Raw genomic sequence first — 21,075 nt, 5'->3', positions numbered from 1 at the left:
CTAGGTGGCCGTCTCCCCGTGACCTCTCCTGGAGCCCCACCCAGGCCCGCTCCCACCCGCCATTGGCTGGCCTTGCGATACGTCAGTCCTGCGCGCCCCCGGGCGGAGATGGGGAGGGCACCCGGCGTTCTGAGCGGAAGTACGGTTGAGCCGATTTCCGGGGCCACTGGTGTGACGTGTCCCGCGCTTGGCGCAGCAGGAAGCGGCGGCGAACGCGGCCTGAATTCCCGGCGCCGGCCCCAGCTCCTCTGCCGCTGCCGCCATGCTCGACTTCTTCACCATTTTCTCCAAGGGCGGGCTTGTGCTCTGGTGCTTCCAGGGCGTTAGCGACTCATGCACCGGACCCGTTAACGCGTTGATTCGTTCCGTGCTGCTGCAGGTACCGTCCCCGTGGGATCAGAACTCCAGGCTCTTCTTTCCTGACCCGATCCATGGTCCCCTTCGACTCTATTCCGCGCCTCCTCCCACCCTCCCCGCCCACCTCACACTGACCACTCACGCGTAACCCGGACTCCGCTTCGTTTTCTCGTCCCCTTCAGACTACCCCGCAACTTAATGACGGCCCCCGCCTCTGGTGTCTCAACTCTAGCCGAATTCCGGCGCCTTTGGGATTCTCCTCCGCTCCCTCTATTTATCCCCAGCAGCTTGGTTTTGTTGTTTCGAGCCTAGGTGAAATAACAGATGGGAAAACACCTTTACAAAACTAAATGGTGTATAGCTGCTAGTAATCTGATTGTTTACATGACTACTTCCCTTTTGGCTCCCATGTGTCTTGCTCTCTCTCTCATCTTTTTCCCCCAACTTGGTTATCTTATTTCTGGTGGAATGCCAGAGAGAAGTGCCCCAACATCCTCTTGTCCTGGGGACAGATTTGAGTTTGGGGGAAATGTTTGGCTCTTTCCCAAAGGTTATCCAAACCCAGGGCCCAAACCTGGGTTTTCTGGGGATAGTCTGAACACTGAGACATACTCTTTCTCCAGGAACGGGGAGGTAACAACTCCTTCACCCATGAGGCACTCACACTCAAGTATAAACTGGACAACCAGTTTGAGCTGGTGTTTGTGGTAAGTGGGGTGTTGTAGAGGGACGATTGCATTGTTAACATAGCCCTGATTTTTAAGAGAACTCTGATTAATTGCAGCCAGTGTATATGATGACGTAACTGAAAAAACTAGAAAGGTAGATGGGGGAAAACAGCAGCTACTGGGCCCAGGCAGGGAGCTTGGCTGCCTCTCAGGACAGGGAAACCGGCCAGGTAGCTGAACCTATCTCTGAAAGCCAGGGTTGAGTTGGCGTCCCTCCATTCTAGGCTAGTATGTAAGCAGATCTGTTGGCTGTTTCTTCCCCTAAACAGGTTGGTTTTCAGAAGATCCTGACACTGACATATGTAGACAAATTGATAGATGACGTGCATCGGCTGTTTCGGGACAAGTACCGCACAGAGATCCAACAGCAAAGTGCTTTAAGTTTATTAAATGGCACTTTTGATTTCCAAAATGACTTCCTGCGGCTCCTTCGGTGAGAGACCTGCCTTCTCTAAAATCAATTTATTTCCATGATTTGATGACCTCTCTGAAGGTGGTTCAAAGGTGGTAAATTGATGTGTTCAAAGACATTCCTAATTTGCTACCCAGTTCTCATTGTCCTCTTGGGTGTGAGAGTCCTTTCTCTGGACCGTTATTTTTCCTTCTGCATGGGGTAGAAAGATAAACCATTCTCCTTTTTGTTTAGTGAAGCAGAGGAGAGCAGTAAGATCCGTGCTCCCACTACCATGAAGAAATTTGAAGATTCTGAAAAGGCCAAGAAACCTGTGAGGTCCATGATTGAGACACGGGGGGAAAAGCCCAAGGAAAAAGCAAAGAATAGCAAAAAAAAGGGGGCCAAGAAGGAAGGCAAGTTTGAGTTCTTTGGATATACTGGGACATGAAAGGTGTTAACACGGTGCTAAGGACTGAGGTGGTCCTTCCTTTTGTCATTGCTTACCTGCTTCTCACTCAAATGGTCACCATCCTATAATCCCCAGGCCTTATGAACTCCAAGATGTTTGGTCCAAATTTCCTTTGAACAATTTGGAAGACTTTTAGCCATTGTCTAGTGGTTGGGATTGGTCTTCTTTTTTCTTCAGTGAGTTTTTTCCCCAACAGGTTCTGATGGTCCTTTGGCTACCAGCAAACCAGTCCCTGCAGAAAAGTCAGGTCTTCCAGTGGGTCCTGAGAACGGAGTAGAACTTTCCAAAGAGGAGCTGATCCGCAGGAAGCGCGAGGAGTTCATTCAGAAGCATGGGAGGGGTATGGAGAAGTCCAAGTGAGCACTCTTTCTCCAGTACTCTCAAAATACTGTTATCTAGACACAATGGGTGCAAGGGAGTTCTGGTCTCTGGCTCATGTTTCCTTTCCTACTTCTCCACCATAACTCTTTGTATCATAACCTGTTGCAGCAAGTCCACGAAGTCAGATGCTCCAAAGGAGAAGGGCAAAAAAGCACCCCGGGTGTGGGAACTGGGTGGCTGTGCTAACAAAGAAGTGTTGGATTACAGTACTCCCACCACCAATGGAACCCCTGAGGCTGCCTTGTCTGAGGACATCAACCTGGTAAGAGGTAACAGGGGTCAAAGTGATCTTTAACAACAAATTGGGAGGAAGTAGAGTGTGGGAACGTGATACTGGGATTTGAATGAGGGGTAAGTTATACTTGGAGCTTCCCAAAATGAAAGAGATAGAGCAATGTGGACGTTTTCCTCAGAGACCTTAGTGTTCCTGACCCCACATCCTTTCCCCGTATCTTCCAGATTCGAGGGACTGGGTCTGGGGGGCAGCTTCAGGATCTGGACTGCAGCAGCTCTGATGACGAAGGGGCTGCTCAAAACTCTACCAAACCTAGGTAGGGGAATTTCAGGTGGGGGTTGGTATATGCATCTGCAAAACTGGTAAGATACAACTCCTGCCTACTGGTTTTATGTGTATGTGTAATCTCCTGTCCCTGCAGTGCGACCAAGGGAACACTGGGTGGCATGTTTGGTATGCTGAAGGGCCTTGTGGGTTCAAAGAGCTTGAGTCGTGAAGACATGGAATCTGTGCTGGACAAGATGCGTGATCATCTCATTGGTAAGTTCTGAGGACCGGGCTGACTCATACTCGCGGGATAGGGGTAGTTGAGAGCAGAATCACCTAGCGTTTCTCACCTGTACCATAAAGATTGGTCATTGCTGACATGGAACTGACATACCTGTCCCCCTCTCCTCAGCTAAGAACGTGGCTGCAGACATTGCCGTCCAGCTCTGTGAATCTGTTGCCAACAAGTTGGAAGGGAAGGTGATGGGGACGTTCAGCAGTAAGTACTTACCTAAGTGAGAAAGTGCTTATGTGTAGGTTAAGTGCATAGACCTCAGTTCTTACTAGGTATGTGACTTTCGGCAAATTCCTTAACCTCTAAACCTCTGTAACCTAGATTTTAAGGGTTATTGAGAGGATTCAGTGAGTTAGTCCTTGTAATGTGCGTCTGTTCTGGATTTCTGGGACAAGAGTCTAATTTACTGTTTTAGTCCCCTTAGCTCAGAAAGGTGTTAGGCATTTTTGAGAGCATTCCTTGAGTTTCACAGCTGCAACCTCCTCCACCTCCCCTTTCAGCGGTGACTTCCACAGTAAAGCAAGCCCTACAGGAGTCCCTGGTGCAGATTCTGCAGCCACAGCGTCGTGTAGACATGCTCCGGGACATCATGGATGCCCAGCGTCGCCAGCGCCCTTATGTCGTCACCTTCTGCGGCGTTAATGGAGTGGGGAAATCTACTAATCTTGCCAAGGTCAGTGCAGTTCCCCAGCCTATCGCTGATATTTCTGTACTTCTTGTGTCTCAAAATCCTGGCTTTAGGTGACTTTTCTTACGTCTTTTTCACAGATTTCCTTCTGGTTGTTAGAGAATGGCTTCAGTGTCCTCATTGCTGCCTGTGATACATTTCGTGCTGGGGCCGTGGAGCAGCTGCGTACACACACCCGGCGTTTGAGTGCCCTACACCCTCCAGAGAAGCATGGTGGCCGCACCATGGTGCAGTTGTTTGAAAAGGGCTATGGCAAGGATGCTGCTGGCATTGCCATGGAAGCCATTGCTTTTGGTACAGTGCATGGGAAGTGTGGGGGCTTATTTGGGGTCCCTTTTTCTCCTTGGGTTCTCTTGGAATTTGCAGAAGATCAGGCTTGTGCTACTACAGACTCGTTGGTCAATTACAGTAAAAAGTCAGATCAGTTACTTGCCATGCTCTGCTTTTGGATAACAGATGTAGTTGCAGGCAAAGCTAATATACCTTAACCAGAGAAACCTGAATTTGGTCACCTTCATCCTGTTGTCCTCCTTTTCCTGAATATGTTTGGTGATGGCCAAGCATATAATCAAGTTTTTCTCACATTACCTTGGAACCAAATCCAGAGCCCAAGACAGTGAACAGGTAGTCAAACTAGGACTTTTTGAGAGGAAGCTGGGAACGAGCATGAGTGGTAGTCCAGGTGTTCAGAGTTGACTACTTTCTTTCTCTAGCACGTAACCAAGGCTTTGACGTGGTGCTGGTGGACACGGCAGGCCGCATGCAAGACAATGCCCCTCTGATGACTGCCCTGGCCAAACTCATTACTGTCAATACACCTGATTTGGTGCTGTTTGTAGGAGAAGCCTTAGTAGGCAATGAAGCCGTGGACCAGCTGGTGAGAGCGTGGGCCCAGTTCCCTTTACAACTTGAGCTTTGGTCAATTTAGATGGTTCTTACACTTCTATCACTTTTTCTTTCCAGGTCAAGTTCAACAGAGCCTTGGCTGACCATTCTATGGCTCAGACACCTCGGCTCATTGATGGCATTGTTCTTACCAAATTTGATACCATTGATGACAAGGTAAACGTGAGACTGGAGGCTGGAATGGGCGTCCTGCACAAAGGAGCTGAGGCTGCAAGGAAATCTTGGCTCCAGCGCTTCCTGTTCCTGAGAGGGTGAGTGAAAAGTGGGCTTGTGTTGATGGGCTGTCCTCTTTCTCCACTTAGGTGGGAGCTGCTATTTCTATGACGTACATCACAAGCAAACCCATCGTCTTTGTGGGCACCGGCCAGACCTACTGTGACCTACGCAGCCTCAATGCCAAGGCTGTGGTGGCTGCCCTCATGAAGGCTTAACGTGGCTCTTGCCCAATACCAAATCGCCGCTTTCCCCACAAGCCCTTCTTCCTGTATCAAGAATGTGCTTTAGAGTATGTGAGCAACCTGTCTTCAGTGTAGTACAAAGGCAGAGTGAGGGGGCTTGTGGCTCCTTCCAACCCCACTCCCCGTTCAGCACAGCCGCCATCTGCAAGGAAGGCCTAATCATGTTACAATCACTGCCCACTGACCCTCTCCCAGCGGGCCTCCCCCTTCCTACTCAGGCACCCCCTTCACTCTGCCTACAGACTCAGTCTTATTACAGCTTTGACCAATGGTTGGAACCCAACACCAGAGCTTTGCTAATAATTAGTGTGGTCAAGAGCCGTCTGAGCCTAATGAGTCCCAGCTGCATTAGGTTAAGAGACTCTTCCAGAGCCAGCGCCAGGTCTTGAATGGCACCTCTCCCTAGGATACACAGCCTGCAGGTCCCCAGGACCTGGATGACACCCGCCTCACTGTGGCAGTGTATTGCCTGTTAATTGCTGCTAATTCTAATTCTGATGATGACTCCTACTCCATTGTTTACCCCAAAGCATCAGCTAGGCTGGAGTGATTTGTTACAAATGAGCAAAAGATGAGTCCTTGCTTCCCTCAGAAATAAAAGGAGCTCAGCTGCAGCGTTGCATTGGGCTTCTTGGCCTCCCAACTCTTCCCACTCCCAGAATCCAGAAGTAAGCTCTGCATGTTCCCCTTCCTGGGAGGAAACCAATTGTCAGAAGGATGTATGATGACCCCCTCCCCTCCCATCCTTCACCTCCTAAGCAGTCCTGGCTTTTCCTCATCACTCCCCTCTACAGTGCCTGGTAGACAAGTGCTACATTGAAGAACACAAACCTCTTGTTAAGACTTGTCCTGTAGCTTGATATTACAGATGTGCTATTAGTGCAATAAGGTGAAGGCTGTCTGCCCAGAGAAATAAGTAATTTATATAAGAAAATAAATTTCATAAATAAATTGCCTTTTAGGTCTTGGAGTTCTTTTATACAGGATTCAAAACTAAAATTCCACAACACACTTAACTGTAGTTCTAGGACATATGTATGGTCAGGACAACAGAGCAGAAGTTGATAATGCTCCGAGGAATCAGGTAAGTAAACGGTTGTCCTGAGAATGAGATCACTCCACCCCAAGGAGAAAGATCGGAACCTTTAAACTTTGGGTTATTAAAATTAAGCTTATTAGTACCTTGATGCAAGTTAGAGTTTCTTACAATGACTCTAAAAGTAGAGCCAGGGTCCTGGCAAGTAAATGAACAAGCTTTTAATACAGCTTAGTTATGTAAAATACTGTACACTGTAAAAGATCTAGAAAACTAGAGCTTCAAGTCATGTTTTAAAAAAGCCATTAAGCTTAATTGAAAAACCAAGTATAGAGTACAAAACTGCAACAAGAGCCACAGTGATTCCATGGCATCCAGACCCCGAGTCCTTCATGCAGAGCTGCAGCCGGTCAGTGGAAGTATCACATTGGTGTGCTGTGTGGACACAAGCATGTCTAGCCTGGGGAGTGGGTTGGGAGCTGCATTTGGGTCCTGCTGTCGCTTTTATTCTTGAACTTGAACAGGCGGCAGAATATCAAGAACCAGGTGGTATGAAGGATTACGCTGCAACATTCCCCCCTCTTCTACCCCGCCCTTCAACCTCTGGCTATTGTTACTTTCTGGGAATTGTGTTGGGTTCTTGTAAGTTTACTTGTTAAACACTGTCTGTAGTAGGGCCTTACAGCTTGGTCTAAACGGTGGTGATTTCTCTAGCTCGCTCATGTACTACAGCCTGTAGGGAGAAAGAAAAGAGAACAAAATGAAGTTTCACAAAACAGGTTTATACATTGGAAGCTGCAGATACTTAAGTCAATCCTAACCCTTCAGAAGGCAAGACAGGAGATTCTAGGAATCTTGTAATTTATTTAAAATTTTATTTACTTTTTAGAGACAAGGTCTTTGTCACCCAGGCTCAAATGCAGTGGCACAATCAGCTCACTGGGCTCAAGCAATCCTCCTACCTCAGCCAGTAGCCGGGACTATAGGCACACAGCACCAGACCTAGCAATTTAAAAAAATTTTTTTTGTAGAAACAGCATCTTGCTATGTTGCTCAGGCTGGTCTCAAACTCCTGGGCTCAAGCAATCCTCCTGCCTCAGCCTCCCAAAGTGCTGGGATTACAGGCCTGAGCCACCACACCCAGCAGTACTTTTTTCAAAAAATTAACTGATCACTGCACTAGATTGTAATAGACTTGATAGGAAAAGATAGAATCCTTAATGGGTAGGAGAGGAAAATCATTCTCTACAGTGTTTTTTAAAATTTGGCAATGTGAGGTCCAAAGTAACATTCTCTATATTCTTAACCAAGGACCTAGAAAGACTTTCTGCTACAGAGTGATAAATAGTAGAATAGGAAACAGTATACCTCTTATTTCACTGTGTGCTGCAGATGAGCCATTTAGCTGACCTTCTCTCACCATCCCTGCTAAATAGAGGACATCAGCATCAGACATTAGACTGAAAAGCTAAAACTATTAATAGCAAAAAGAAAACTAAAGGGAGATGAGGACATATGGTACGACTGAAAAGGAATGGGCATTTAGAAATGAAACAATCATTGAGAAGATAAGGAGGCAGAGAGGATAAACTGGAGTAGTCTTTAGACTTGCATTACCTAACAGGGAAGCAGTGAGTTTCCACAGTGCACTACGATTGCTTGTAGACAAAACATTTTACATTTTACATTTTACATTTCACATACAGGCAACATGTGTCTGCTGTCCCTAAACAGTCTAGAGGGCCAAGTTTCGGTAAAAATTCAATCTCACCAGGGATGGGCAAATGGCATGTGAGTGAGCAACTTCAAATAGAAGAGTGAAAAGCAGCAGAATACTCCCACAAAATAAAATACGGTAGCACTAGCCATATGCAGCTACTTGGTTTCAAATTAAAAATTCCATTCCTCAGTCACACTGGCCACATTTCAACGGTGCACCAGCCACATGTGGCTCCTAACTATGATACTAGACAGTGAAGATTATACAGTATTTTTATGACTGCAGGAAATTCTACTGGATAACACTTGGCATAGATAATAGTTCAGAAAAAGTAAAAAGCTGAACACATGGAAGAAAATAGTCATTAGAAATATGGTCAATTACAGTATAAACAGGCATGGTACTCAAATATACAAATTGATATTACCCTCGTAGAAAACAATTTAGCAGTATTTATAAATTACTGAAATGTTCCTGATCTTTGACCTGATTACAGTGAGAACTCATCAAGGAAATTACTGGAAAAACTGAAGAGATACAGATGTTATTTTCACAACATGACTTACAAAAAACTGGCAAAAAAAATATCAGACGTTGCCTAACAGGAATAATTAGGTAAACTGTAACACCCCTACTGGAATATAAAAGTCAATTAAAATAGTGGTTATGAAGATAGGGATGTGGGAAAATGTACAATCCACTACTGAATTTTCAAAGGACCAAAAAAAAAAAAAAATCACTATATTTTGTTTACAACTATGAAAAAAAGCACAGGGAAAACTTCATCAGAAATGTGCCAAGGCCAGGTGCTGTGGCTCACACCTATAATCCCAGAACTTTGGGAAGCTGAGGTGGGAGGATTGCTTGCACTTAGGAGACTGAGAACAGCCTGGGCAACATGGCGAAACCCCATCTCTACAAAAAATACAAAAATTAGCTGGGCATTGTGGTATGTGCCTTTAGTCTCAGCTACTCGGGAGGCTGAGGTGGGAGGATCGCCTGAGCCCGGGGAGGTCAAGGCTGTGGTGAGCCATGACTGTGCCATTGTACTGCAGCCTGGGTGAAAAAGCAAGACCCTGTATCAAAAATAGTAATAATAATAAAATAAAAATAAAGCTGGCACAGTGGCTCACGCCTGTAATCCCAGCACTTTGGGAGGCTGAGGTGGGTGGATCACGAGGTCAGGAGATCGAGACCATCCTGGCTAACACAGTGAAACGCTGTATCTACTAAAAATACAAAAAATTAGCCGGGTGTGGTGGCGGGCGCCTTTAGTCCCAGCTACTCGGGAGACTGAGGCAGGAGAATGGCGTGAACCCAGGAGGCAGAGCTTGCAGTGAGCTGAGATTGCGCCACTGCACTCTAGCCTGGGTGACAGAGAGAAACTCCATCTCAAATCAATAAATAGGCCCGGGCATGGTGGCTCACGCCTGTAATCCCAGCACTTTGGGAGGCCAGGGCGGGTGGATCATGAGGTCAGGAGACCGAGACCATCCTGGCCAACATGGTGAAACCCCATCTCTACTAAAAATACAAAAAATTAGCCGGGCATGGTGGTGGGCGCCTATAGTTCCAGCCACTCAGGAGGCTGAGGCAGGAGAATCACTTGAACCCAGGAGGCGGGGGTTGCAGTGAGCCGAGATTGTGCCACTGCACTCCAGCCTGGCGTCAGAGCGAGACTCCATCTCAAAAAAAAAAAAAAAAAAAGTACCACAACGACTGCTTGTATGGTAATGGATTATAAGAATTATTTTTCTTTTTCCCACTGCTTGATTTTTCCAAAATATGTGTAACTACATACTATAGAATCCTTTGAAGACAATTAATTTCCACTATGCAAAAGTGAGTATACAGCACAATGCCAGGCACATAGCAAAGGTTCAGTGTTAAAAAACAAAATAACAGCAAAAGACCTGTAACCTCTCATTAGTCTATATCTACAGAGACTCAAAACATTATGCAAGGGTGAAAGATAAGGTTGACTCGTTTCAAAATGAAATGATGTTTTAACCTGAAACTGCTCTACTACATTTCACATGACAAACTCAGCTGACCATTCCCATAAAGCACTCTGGCCATACTGAAAATCCTTGATTTTGTTTAAAGATACAGAACACCTTAATGATGGGTAACTTCGGGGAAAGCTACTCTGGTAGGAAGCCTACACAGCTAATAAAAGAATTTGTGCCATTCCACAATAGCAGTTAAGGTTCCTTAGAGCAATCTTAGTGCACTAAGGAACCTTACTGCTTCTTTGTTATGTAATGCAACAGTCTAAAGACATATTTATTTTTTGCTAAGATTTAGTGCAACAGAAACAGTTATGCAGACGGATTTTGCTGTTTTAAACTTTAGCATCTTTCCTCAGCATATAGATCAAAAGAAATATGTAGAACTTGGATATGTATGTCTTGTTAATGAAAACAACATGTGCAACAGAAAAGCCTTCTCAAAGTCTCAAGTGTGGGCAAACAACAGCAGGAGAGTCTAGAACACTGCAGGACACCAGAAAAACTCATTTCCAACAAAGAATAGTAAATAGTTTTCACAAATGAGACTTGTTCATGTGGTGATGGCTTTTAAAAGTCTGGTTCCATCAAAGCATAGCCATGGAAGAAGCTGTGTAATTTTTCATTACAGGAGAATTCTACTTGAAGCCATCTGATTCAGTTAAGAAATCTGGGGATGATTTGATTTAGGAAAACTGCTTTATGTTTATTAAATTACCTGTATGTTATTTATTTTAGAAACAGCGTCTTGCTTTATTGCTCAGACTGTAGGGCAGTGATGCAATCATAGCTCACTGCAGACTCCAACTCCTGGGCTCAAGTGATCCTCCTGCCTCAACCTCCCAAGCAGCTGGACTACAGGTGTGTGCCACCACACCTGGCTAATTTTTTGCAGAGACAGGTTCTCACTATGTTGCTCACACTCATCTTGAACTCCTGGCCTCAAGTGATCCTCCCACCTGGGCCTCCCACAGTGTTGGGATTACAGGACAAATTACCTGTACTTTTGCCCTCCTAAGATGCATTCAGGTTGACAATGAAAATACTTACATAAGTTTTCAGGAAATATTCTGTGCACAACAGCCAAGTTTTTTTGGAATTAGATGGATGAGTCACACTAGCCATACTCTGGAGCCTGGCAATGTGAGGTTTTGAAAAAGCATTCTTCAGTTTAGCTGATACCAAAAATGTTTGTGTTTTGTGCGGTTACTGGGAATTTGCCTGCAGCCACTAATCAGCTGAATCTTTAATCACCATTTTGCTCTTTATTGTTAGAATGTGGAGGTAAAATATCAAGTGTATGATACCCCTATCCTCTGACTTGAATATCACCATTATCCGTTTCCAAATAGCATTTCTAAAAGTAAGTTTTCTGTTTGTAAATATAATACATAATCATCATAGAAAATGCCAATACAGAAACCAAAAAATCAACACTTTAAATCCTACTAAAGATAGCCACTTAATTTAGTAAACATTCCAGATACATTTCTACACGCACCAAAAAAAAAAAAAAAATGTACAATTCTATATGAATATAGCTGACCATGGTATTTACAACCTGCTTTTTCTTCCTTTACTCATATGTCTCTAACTTTTTTTTTTATGGCAATGAAAACACTTTCCCTTCTATGGTTTCATTGTATTTCATCAATTAAATAAATATTGGCATATCTGTAGAATCTCCACCAATTTTAGGATCCTTCCAATTTTTTGCCACTACATTCAATGGAAATTACATTCCCACGCATGCATCTTTGTACAATTGTGTGATTGTGCAATCATCCAATTATCTCCTTATGAGAAACTTCTAGGATAAATTGTTTTGATGGGATTTCTAGGTCAAAGATTTGAAAATTTTTGTTACATCTTCTAATTTATGGTCATAAAAGTTGTACTAACTTTACCTTTCCACAAATACTCCATGAATAAATTTATTTTCTCACAGCCTTAGCCAAAATTGGGTGATCTTTCTTCGCTATTTTGTAATCTAAATTCAAACTGCATTTCATTGATAACTAGTGAGGCTGAACATCTGTTTTCTTCATTCTTCCTATGTCTATATTGAACTGCTCAAGTATTCCTTTTTGTCTGTCTTCCCATAATCCAAGTGGCACTTTAGTCTAACCTGAAGACTGTGGCCTCCTTTACAATTTGGTCAGTCATTACATTCCTCATCTTGGCAACTATTTTGCCCATCACATCACAAATACACAAAAGGCTGAAGAGCTGTTGTTCTCTGATTCCCCTCAGCTTCAAAATGCATCTTACCTGATGTACCCCTTGTGGAGATCTCACATGTCAGTCGCTTGAAATATTCTGGAAGATCGGCATAGTCATCTCCATAGGAGATGACTTTAATCCCCTTGTCCAGCATGTTTTCTCGAAGCTTTTTGAACTCATCTACGTCTCCTCTCCGAACCAGCATGAAATGTTCTAGGTCAGATTTATGCTTGACAGCCTCCAAGAAAAGGGCCTGGAAAGTGGTGTCATCCACAGTCCAGCCACAGCCCAGGAAAAGAAATGACTTGTTTTCGTAGAGTTTCTGAATTTCTCTCTGGAAGGAAAAGATACAACATATTGACATTGTGAAGACACACTCAAGGCAAGTCTGAAACAAGAAGGTCATGCTACGTTGAGCAGACTGTGATGACCAATTAAGCAAGACTTAAGTGGGTTGGTATGTCCCATCAAGGAGTGTGATCTCTTGCTTATTGCTGTAACTTGATGATTGGTCTAAAATTTTATCTTTACCTGCCATTCTTCTGTAGGCTCTCTAATCAGCGTTTCATAGAGCTGGTGTCAGTGTACTGGTGCAGTAGTTTACTTCTTTATTTTTTATGCTTTATATATTTTTTGAGACGGAGTCTCACTCTTTCACCTGGGCTAGAGTGTAGTGGTGTGACCTCGGCTTACTGCAACCTCCACCACCCTGGTTCAAGTGACTCTCATGCCTCAGCCTCCCGAGTATATTACAAGTGTGCACCACCACACCCAGCTAATTTTTGAATGTTTAGTAGAGACGGGGTTTTGCCATGTTGGCCAGGCTGGTCTGGTACTCCCGACCTCGAGTGATCCACCCACCTTGGCCTCCCAAAGTGCTGGGATTACAGGCGTGAGCCACTGCACTTGGCCAGTAGTTTACTTTTTTATTTTTATTTTATTTTTGAGACAGAGTCTTGCTCTGCCACCTAGGCTGGAGTGCAGTGGCATGGTCTTGGCTCACTGCAACCTCCTCTGCCTCCCAGGTTCAAGCGATTCTCCTGCCTCAGACTCCCAAGTAGCTGGCATTACAGGCACCTGCCAGCACGCCCAGCTAATTTTCCTATTTTTAGTAGAGACAGGGTTTCACCATGTTGGCCAGGCTGGTCTGGAACTCCTGACCTCATGTGATCTGCCTGCCTCAGCCTCCCAAAGTGTTGGGATTACAGGCGTACTTTTTTAGATTTATGTGCCCAGAGGTCATTGTGCAAAGAGTAGGTCTTCATATATCTTAATCCTTCCATTTCTGGACCATATTTGCCTTTGTCTCACAAACTGAACTGTGAATCACCAGAGAAGATAATTCCATCATCGGATTTGCTCAAGGAAAGGCGTTTGATACTTAGAACATCAGTATGTGTGTGTGTGTGTATACATATACACACACAAAAACACAGAAATGACTGCCTAAGGGATCACTCAATGTCAGAGATGGATGCAGTTATGGCAGATGTTGGGAAAGAATGGGTAAAAAGAAAAAAAAGTCCCTTGTGCTTTAGACAATACATTTTCTCGGTCTTTTGCCTCATTATTAAAAGATGCTATAATCTATATGACCCAGTCCTGAAAACAGCAAACAAGATTCTTAGAGCTGGGGGCAGCGAATACTTCTGGTTTGAACATGTTTATCTGAACAAGTCGAAAATGTGCATCCCAAAAGATCAATAAGCTTTTCACAAAGAGTAAGTGTGAATAAATGTGGTTAATTCAATATAAGCCCATTGCCATTTATACAAAGTCTCTTTAGAATGTATTCTCTAGTAGTGGTTGGTTTGTTAAGAAGCTGCCTCAATTATTTCTGACACAGAGAGGGCTATTAATAAACCAAATGATGATAAAGGGTACTAATGTATCCTTTGTATGTGAAGATGATGCCAATGATGACATGCCATCTGCTGGTTGTCAATTAAGTACAAACAAAGATCATAGGGTTTGACACCTTAAGAGAAATTCTACATTTCCTAGACAGCATGCACACCCATAAGTTAAGAAGCACAGGAAGAACGTCTGACTTTCCAGTTTCTTTCTTTTTTTAGAGATAGGGCCTTGCTCTGTCACCCAAGCTGGAGTGCAGTGGCTCTAGACACAGCTCACTACAGCCTTATATTCCTAGTCTCAACTAATCTTCCTGCCTCAGCCTCCCAAGTAGCTGGGACAGCATGCACCATGATGCCTAGCTAATTTTATTTTTGTAAAGACAAGAGTCTCGCTATGTTGCCCAGGCTGGTCTCGAACTCCTGGCCTCAGGTGATCCTCTCCCCTTGGCCTCCCAAAGTGTTGGGATTATAGGCATGAGCCACTGCTCCTAGCCCCTGACCTTCCGTTTTCACTTAATGAAAAGAAGATGTTCCCCTTTAAGATCTATGGCATATTTAGAGAGATTTCCCAGGAAGGAGTTCCTGAGACCAGCAAGATCAGCCCCACTCACCATGACTTCAGTGTTCCTGAGCACGTTCTGATATCCAGCCGGATGAAGGACAATGCCACTAGGGTTGGTGTAGACTCCGTGAATATGCAACACGCTCAGCTTACGCTTCTCCTGAGCCCACTCGAGGACCTGCACAACACACATATAGCCCAACCAGCTTGGCAGGGCTGAGCACCTGTTTAAAGGTCACAATGGGCAAGAGGCTGTTTTGAGGACTAGACTTCTGACATAAACTCTCTAGCTTCATGATATAGGACAAGAATGCAAAACCTGATGTGGTCTAAGTTTCCACTTCAGGAATGACTGTCAAGAATGATGGCAACAAATTTGGTGATTTCTCTTTGAAAGTAAGCATCAAAAATCACAATTTGTCATAATTTGCAGAAACAACAGGGACCCTTTGCACTGGTGGCATGCATGAGAGCTATGGACAACTGCTTCAGTGATCGCCCCAAGAAATCAAGCCTCTGTATCCAGGCCCTTGTGTGGCCCCTCTTCGGAGTGACTCCAGGCTAACCACATGGCTTGCTTTTAGCCAATGGGATACTAGCAAACACACACAAGCAGAAGCTTGAAAAGTGTTGGCACAAGAAGTCTTACTTCTCTTGTGTTACTTTTGGAATCCAGCTGCCATGCGAAGAAAGTGAAGAAGCCTGGGCTAGCCTGCTGGGACATATATGGCCTGGCCAATTGCTTGCAGGGAAGTATGGTCCCCTTATATCACTCAGCCCTGGTGCGGCCATCAGATGTCTGCAGGTATGTGAAGAGGGTGCAAAAATCAGCAGAAAAAATGCCTGGCTGAGTCACTGAGCCCAGTTCAAATTGTTAATATACTTTATCATGGGCAGATAAGATATTTGTTGTTACAAGCCACAAAGTTTCACGGCCATTACTTGTACAGCAATAGATAAGTGATAGAAAAATCACTTCAGTCACCTCTGAGGAACCTAAAAGGCTGCCAGCGAAGAACAATCATTTAGACAACAGCGAATGCAATAGCCACCTGATTCCATGGCTCCATTTTCCCAAGGACTGGAGACAGCATACATTTATTCTTATCACATTTTGGAGAAATAGGCTATGAATCAGGAAAGTAGTCAAGAGGCACCGAGATTTAGAATTTGAATGTTACTAGGCCCCATTCTGACTACCAGTCAATGTCTTTAACCATTAGACTGCAACACTGCCCCTAATGTGGGCTGAAAATACAATGCAAATCTTGAGGCCCAAGGATGAAATGAGAAGGAAAACATCAAATGTGATAGATATCCTCAGCTTTTAAAAGGTCCTTATGCTTCTGATATCCATGAACACACTTGGTCATAATCTTTGGAAATTTTATCACAAATAGCATAGAAGCTGCTAGTTTTAAAATTTCAATCATTTGTTTGTTTGTTTTTAGACAGAGTCTTGGTCTGTTGCCCAGATTGGAGCACAGTGGCGCAATCTTGGCTCACTGAAACCTCTGCCTCCTGGGTTCAAATGATTCTCCTGCCTCAGCCTCCCAAGTAACTGGGATTACAGGCGTGCACCACCACTCCCAGCTAGTTTTTGTATTCTTAGTAAAGACGGGGTTTCACCATGTTGGACAGGCTGGTCTCAAAATCCTGACCTCAAGTGATCCACCCACCTCGGCCACCCAAAATGCTGGGATTACAGACGTGAACCACTGTGCCCAGCCTATTTATTTAGAGACATGATCTTATGCTGTCACCCAGGCTGGAGTGCAACAGTGTGATCACAACTCACTGTAGCCTCGACTGCCTCAGCTCAATCGATCGTCCTGCTTCAGCCTCCCAAGTAGCTGGGACCACAGGCAAACACCACCATGCCCGGCTAATTTTTAAACTTTTTGTAGAGATGGGGTCTTGCTATGATGCCCAGGTTGGTCTTGAACTAGGCTCAAGTGATCCTCCCGCCTCAGCTTCCCAAAGTGCTGGGGTTACAGGCCTGAGCTGCTGTGCCCAGCCCAATCATTTATTAATCAAAAAAATATTTACCAAGCACCTAACTGTCATATTTGAGACATGAGGGTTGTATTTGAGTTATGAGGGTAAGAAAGACTAACATGATACCTATCCAAGTGAAGTTACTATTCCTATGGGGTAAACAGTCAGAAAACAGATAAACAGCCAAGATAAAAACTGTGCTGGGTGTGGTGGCTCATGCCTGTAATCCCAGCACTTTGGGAGGCTAAGGTGGGCAGATCACCTGAGGTCAGGAGTTCGAGACCAGCCTGGCCAACATGGTGAAACCCTGTCTCTACTGAAAATACAAAAATTAGCCAGACGTGATGGCGGGTGCCTGTAATCCCAGCTATTCGGGACGCTGAGGCAGGAGAATCGCTTGAACCCAGGAGGAGGAGGTTGCAGTGAGCTGAGATCATGCCATTGCACTTCAGCCTGGGCGACAAGAGCAAAACTCCATCTCAAAACAAAACAAAACAAAACAAAACAAAACGGCCAGGCACATGCCTGTAATCCCAGTACTTTGGGAGGCTGAGGTTAGCAGATCACCTGAGGTCAGGAGTTTGAGACTAGCCTGACCAACATGGAGAAACCCCGTCTCTACCAAAAATACAAAATTAGCCGGGCGTTGTGGCACATGCCTGTAATCCCAGCTACTCAGGAGGGTGAGGCAGGAGAATCACTTGAACCCAGGGCAACAAGAGCGAAACTGTCTCTCAAAAAAAAAAAAAAAAAGCTGCAAGTTAATACTAAGTGCTACAAAGGAAACGGACAAGAGACTGGATAAAAAAAATAAGTATCCAATTTAAATAGGATGGTCAGAGAAGGTCTCTCAGGAGGGGATCCCTAGGTTGAGAGTTATAAATGAAGAAGGAGCTGACCATACAGAATATGAGGGCGTAGGCGGAAGACACTTGGACCAGAGAAAACTAGTCTTCATGGGGCAGCTTTTCTCTAAATTCAATTCCCTTTAAATCCTGCCATCAAGGTCAGCAAAACCACAAGAGTGGTATTTCAGCTACCACTCTGGCAGGGGCAATACTGTAGTACTGAATGCCAGCAGGCAAATCACTTGTCTATTCAACTCTACTTAGTTGGGCTCTAAATTGGACATAAAGGCAGATTCCTGAGGAAAACAAAGTGTAGGAAAAAACATTACAAAAATCACAGAGTAGGACCAATGAGACTTTAAGAACTCATCTCATTAGCTGACACAGATCAACATCTATAATTCAATAATTATGGTAGGTACAGTATAGACTATGCTAAAACAAAGTCTGCTGAGGTTTCCACTAAACATTAACCTCAATTCAGCCATCGCTTGGCCTGGAAGTTGTTCTTCCAATCAGTATAAAGTAGTTTTCATACATTTCCAATAGATGCCATAAAAAAAGGTATCCTAAAATAGAACCAGCATTATCAATATTACACCACTGAATACTGTCAAGTGCTAAAGAGATCTTACAGTTCAAGTGACTTCCTCTAATCTTGCTTTAAAACTGGATGAAATTGTCAAGAGTCATAGAACTGAACACTTTTAAGTTCTATGCATTTTACTGTATATTGATTTGATCTTTAAAAAGAAAGAAAAAAGAAAAACAAAAACTCCAACCAGGGAAAAAATTTTTCCTTTCTAGCTCTACATAAATACCAATATACCAACTAGAAAAGAGCTTTTCTGAGGAAGATAAAATCCACTAGCCTGAAGAAGGGACCAATGCTTTACTTTTTACCTTTTTCTCATCAGTAAGGTCAAGGGATTCAAGCTGTTTCCCCTGATCTGCTGCATACAGTTCCAAGAGATTATCAAAATTTGTAGTTAATACGAGGGCTCCATTTTCCATCAGGTGGAGAACTGACTGAAGTAGCTGTTTTCCAGAATCTTCCATCTTTGACTCCAAGTCATCAAATACTTCATATAAACAGTCCTTGAAAAATGTGGATCGAACATTACTGGTACGCTGAGGAGGGATTTGAAAAAAGAAAATTAGTCCAAAGTGCTTTGGTAGGTCAGTTGTTTTAGTTACAGCAGTAACAAATTTTGGAAGAATATTTTGAATTCAAAACAGAGATAAAGGCCAGGCGCAGTGGCTCACGCCTGTAATCCCAGCACTTTGGGAGACCGAGGCGGGCGGATCACGAGGTCAGGAGATCGAGACCATCCTGGCTAACACGGTGAAACCCCGTCTCTACTAAAAATAAAAAAAATTAGCAGGGCGTGGTGACAGGCGCCTGTAGTCCCAGCTACTTGGGAGGCTGAGGCAGGAGAATGGTGTGAACCCAGGAGGCGGAGCTTGCAGTGAGCCGAGATCGCGTCACTGCACTCCAGCCTGGGCGACGGAGCGAGACTCCATCTCAAAAAAAAAAAAAAAAATCCCGGGGATAAAATATTATCTATCTCATACGAACGTAATAAGGAAGATGAGATGATACATGCCAAGTGCTTAGCACAATGCTTAGCAGATAGCAAGTGCTACTATACGTAAGCTTCCTAAAATAGGCATTTTTATAGAATGAAGAAAATAAACCTGGCCAAGGGATATGAATTTACTGTCGGTATTAAAGGGAAGCTGGGGTACAAAGCAGAGCGACAACTACCCTCTCATGAGGTGCCAGGTAAGAAGGCAACACTTTCCGTTCATCTTGCCTTATGTAGGGAAACGCCACTGAGACACAGCCCTAATTGTGGTTTGGCATCTCCTTTTCTTTTTCTTTTTTTTTTTTTTTTTTTTTTTGAGACGGAGTCTCATTCTGTCACCCAGGCTGGAGTGCAGTGGCGTGATCTCGGCTCACTGCAACCTCCGCCCCGCCAGGTTCAAGCAATTCTCCTGCCTCAGCTTCCCAAGTAGCTGGGATTACAGGCGCCTGCCACTGTGCTCAGCTAATTTTTGTATTTTTAGTAGAGACGGGGTTTCACCATCTTGGCCAGGCTGGTCTTGAACTCCTGACCTTGTGATCCACTCACCTCAGCCTCCCAAAGTGCTGGGATTACAGGTGTGAGCTACCACACCCAGCCTCAGCATCTCCTTTTCTAATCCTAGGTGTTTGTACAGCTGTTTATGAATTTAGGAAAAACTGCTTAACTTCTACATGCCATAATTCAGCAGTTCATAGGTTTATTCTGAAGAATATCCAGTATACAAAAGGTTAACGTAAACAATTTAATACGTTTTTTAAATTAAAAATTTGCATTTTGCAACTGTTGAAAACATCAAACACCAATCAGTTCTAAACAGAATCCCAATGTCTTGTTTTGCAGATGTGAGGTCTGGCTATGTTGTCCAGGTAGGTCTTGAATTCCTGGGATCTCAAGTGATCCTCCCACCTCAGCCTCCCAAAGTGTTGGGATTATGGGTATCAGCCACTTTTCCAGACCTCCTACTTCTTAACATACGGCTTACTTAAATAACTGCTTTTCAGATTCATTTTGAATACATGTAAATATCCCTGAGTACTAATGAGGAACTATAATACCAACTTCAGGTGGGAAACTGGCTTTACAACTGAAAAGACAAAGTGGCTCTTGGGACGAAGGGAATTTGAAATGGGAAAGTAACTATGTAATGTGATGTAATATCTGATCCCTAGCCTGTCTGTGAAATGCCATTTGCTAGGGTTTGGACTGGTCCCCTAACGTTCATGTGTTGGAAACTTAACCCCAACGGAACTGTGTTGGGAGGCGAGACCTAGTAAGACGTGATTAAGTCACGAGGGCCGTGCCTCCATGAATTGATTAATGTCATTATTGCAGGAGTAGATTTGTTATCCTAAGTGTGTCAGTTATAAAAGCGAGTCTGGGCCGGGCGTGCTGGCTCACGCCTGTAATCCCAGCACTTTGGGAGGCCAAGGCGGGTGGATCACGAGGTCAAGAGATCGAGACCATCCTGGCCAACATGGTGAAACCCCATCTCTCTACTAAAAATAAAAAAATTAGCTGGGCGTGGTGGTGGTGCCTGTAGTGCCAGCTACTCGGGAGGCTGAGGCAGGAGAATCGCTTGAATCCGGGAGGCAGAGGTTGTAGTGAGCCAAGATCGCACCATTGCACTCCAGCCTGGGCAACAAGAGCGAAACTCCATCTCAAAAAAAAAAAAAAAAAAAAAAAAAAAAAGTCAACTACTATTGAAGGTCAGATACTTTTTTAGATTTGTTATAAAAAATATGGTGCTCTTTTCTTGTCTACCCAAATCACAAATCCATTTGCCCTATGATCTAGCAGTCACATGTATCCTACAAATACAATTTCAAACAAATGAAATGACACATATGAGGTTATCACTGCATCATTATTTTATTTTATTTTTTATTTATTTTTATTTTTCTTGAGACAGAGTCTTGCTCTGTTGCCCAGCCTGGAGTGCAATGGCGTGATTTTGGCTCACTGCAACCTCTGCCTCTCTGGTTCAGGTGATTCTCCTGATTCATCCTCCCGAGTAGCTGGGACTACAGGTGCGTGCCACCACGCCTTGTATATATAT

The 21,075-nt window shown here is 44.1% G+C and overlaps 2 protein-coding genes across 10 annotated transcripts in view, besides 1 other annotated feature; one reads left to right on the top strand and one right to left on the bottom strand.

The window, feature by feature from the left end:
• Positions 50–309: an enhancer, noted in NCBI's record as "active region_5704". NCBI's record gives its function as "activates an Ori minimal core promoter by ATAC-STARR-seq in GM12878 lymphoblastoid cells {active_cell/tissue: GM12878}" and the evidence as "EXISTENCE:reporter gene assay evidence [ECO:0000049][PMID:35858748]".
• The window catches only part of SRPRA (SRP receptor subunit alpha), a 32,966-nt gene continuing 12,062 nt past the window's right edge, over positions 172–21,075 (top strand). Inside the window, exons 1-14 of one of the 4 annotated variants that reach the window (XM_017018179.3) lie at positions 172–379; positions 981–1,064; positions 1,355–1,518; positions 1,732–1,892; positions 2,145–2,304; positions 2,438–2,591; positions 2,789–2,880; positions 2,986–3,104; positions 3,244–3,330; positions 3,627–3,799; positions 3,895–4,108; positions 4,528–4,691; positions 4,778–4,971; positions 12,197–13,916. In XM_017018179.3, the coding sequence (XP_016873668.1) occupies positions 263–379; positions 981–1,064; positions 1,355–1,518; positions 1,732–1,892; positions 2,145–2,304; positions 2,438–2,591; positions 2,789–2,880; positions 2,986–3,104; positions 3,244–3,330; positions 3,627–3,799; positions 3,895–4,108; positions 4,528–4,691; positions 4,778–4,971; positions 12,197–12,218 (1,905 nt within the window). In that variant the 5' untranslated portion in view covers positions 172–262 and the 3' untranslated portion in view covers positions 12,219–13,916. Of the gene's footprint in view, positions 380–980; positions 1,065–1,354; positions 1,519–1,731; positions 1,893–2,144; positions 2,305–2,437; positions 2,592–2,788; positions 2,881–2,985; positions 3,105–3,243; positions 3,331–3,626; positions 3,800–3,894; positions 4,109–4,527; positions 4,692–4,777; positions 4,972–5,022; positions 6,130–12,196; positions 13,917–21,075 lie in introns of those variants that run through there. The other 3 variants (NM_003139.4, XM_047427497.1, NM_001177842.2) reach the window with 3 other exon arrangements.
• Positions 6,080–21,075, bottom strand: part of FAM118B (family with sequence similarity 118 member B) — a 51,264-nt gene continuing 36,268 nt past the window's right edge. For 2 of the 6 annotated variants that reach the window (NM_001330446.2, NM_001439325.1), the window contains 5 exons: positions 18,334–18,561; positions 14,634–14,762; positions 12,215–12,500; positions 7,583–7,639; positions 6,080–6,947 (listed from right to left, as the gene is read on the bottom strand). In NM_001330446.2, coding sequence (NP_001317375.1) covers positions 6,934–6,947; positions 7,583–7,639; positions 12,215–12,500; positions 14,634–14,762; positions 18,334–18,561 — 714 coding nt within the window. In that variant the 3' untranslated portion in view covers positions 6,080–6,933. Of the gene's footprint in view, positions 6,948–7,582; positions 7,643–12,214; positions 12,501–14,633; positions 14,809–18,333; positions 18,562–21,075 lie in introns of those variants that run through there. The other 4 variants (NM_001439324.1, XM_047427584.1, NM_024556.4 and 1 more) reach the window with 4 other exon arrangements.

Source organism: Homo sapiens, chromosome 11 (assembly GCF_000001405.40).
Source record: "Homo sapiens chromosome 11, GRCh38.p14 Primary Assembly".
In the NCBI taxonomy this organism is placed as follows: domain Eukaryota; kingdom Metazoa; phylum Chordata; class Mammalia; order Primates; family Hominidae; genus Homo; species Homo sapiens.
Note: the sequence above shows the minus strand (reverse complement) of the source record. Positions and strands in the feature narration are given on the sequence as shown.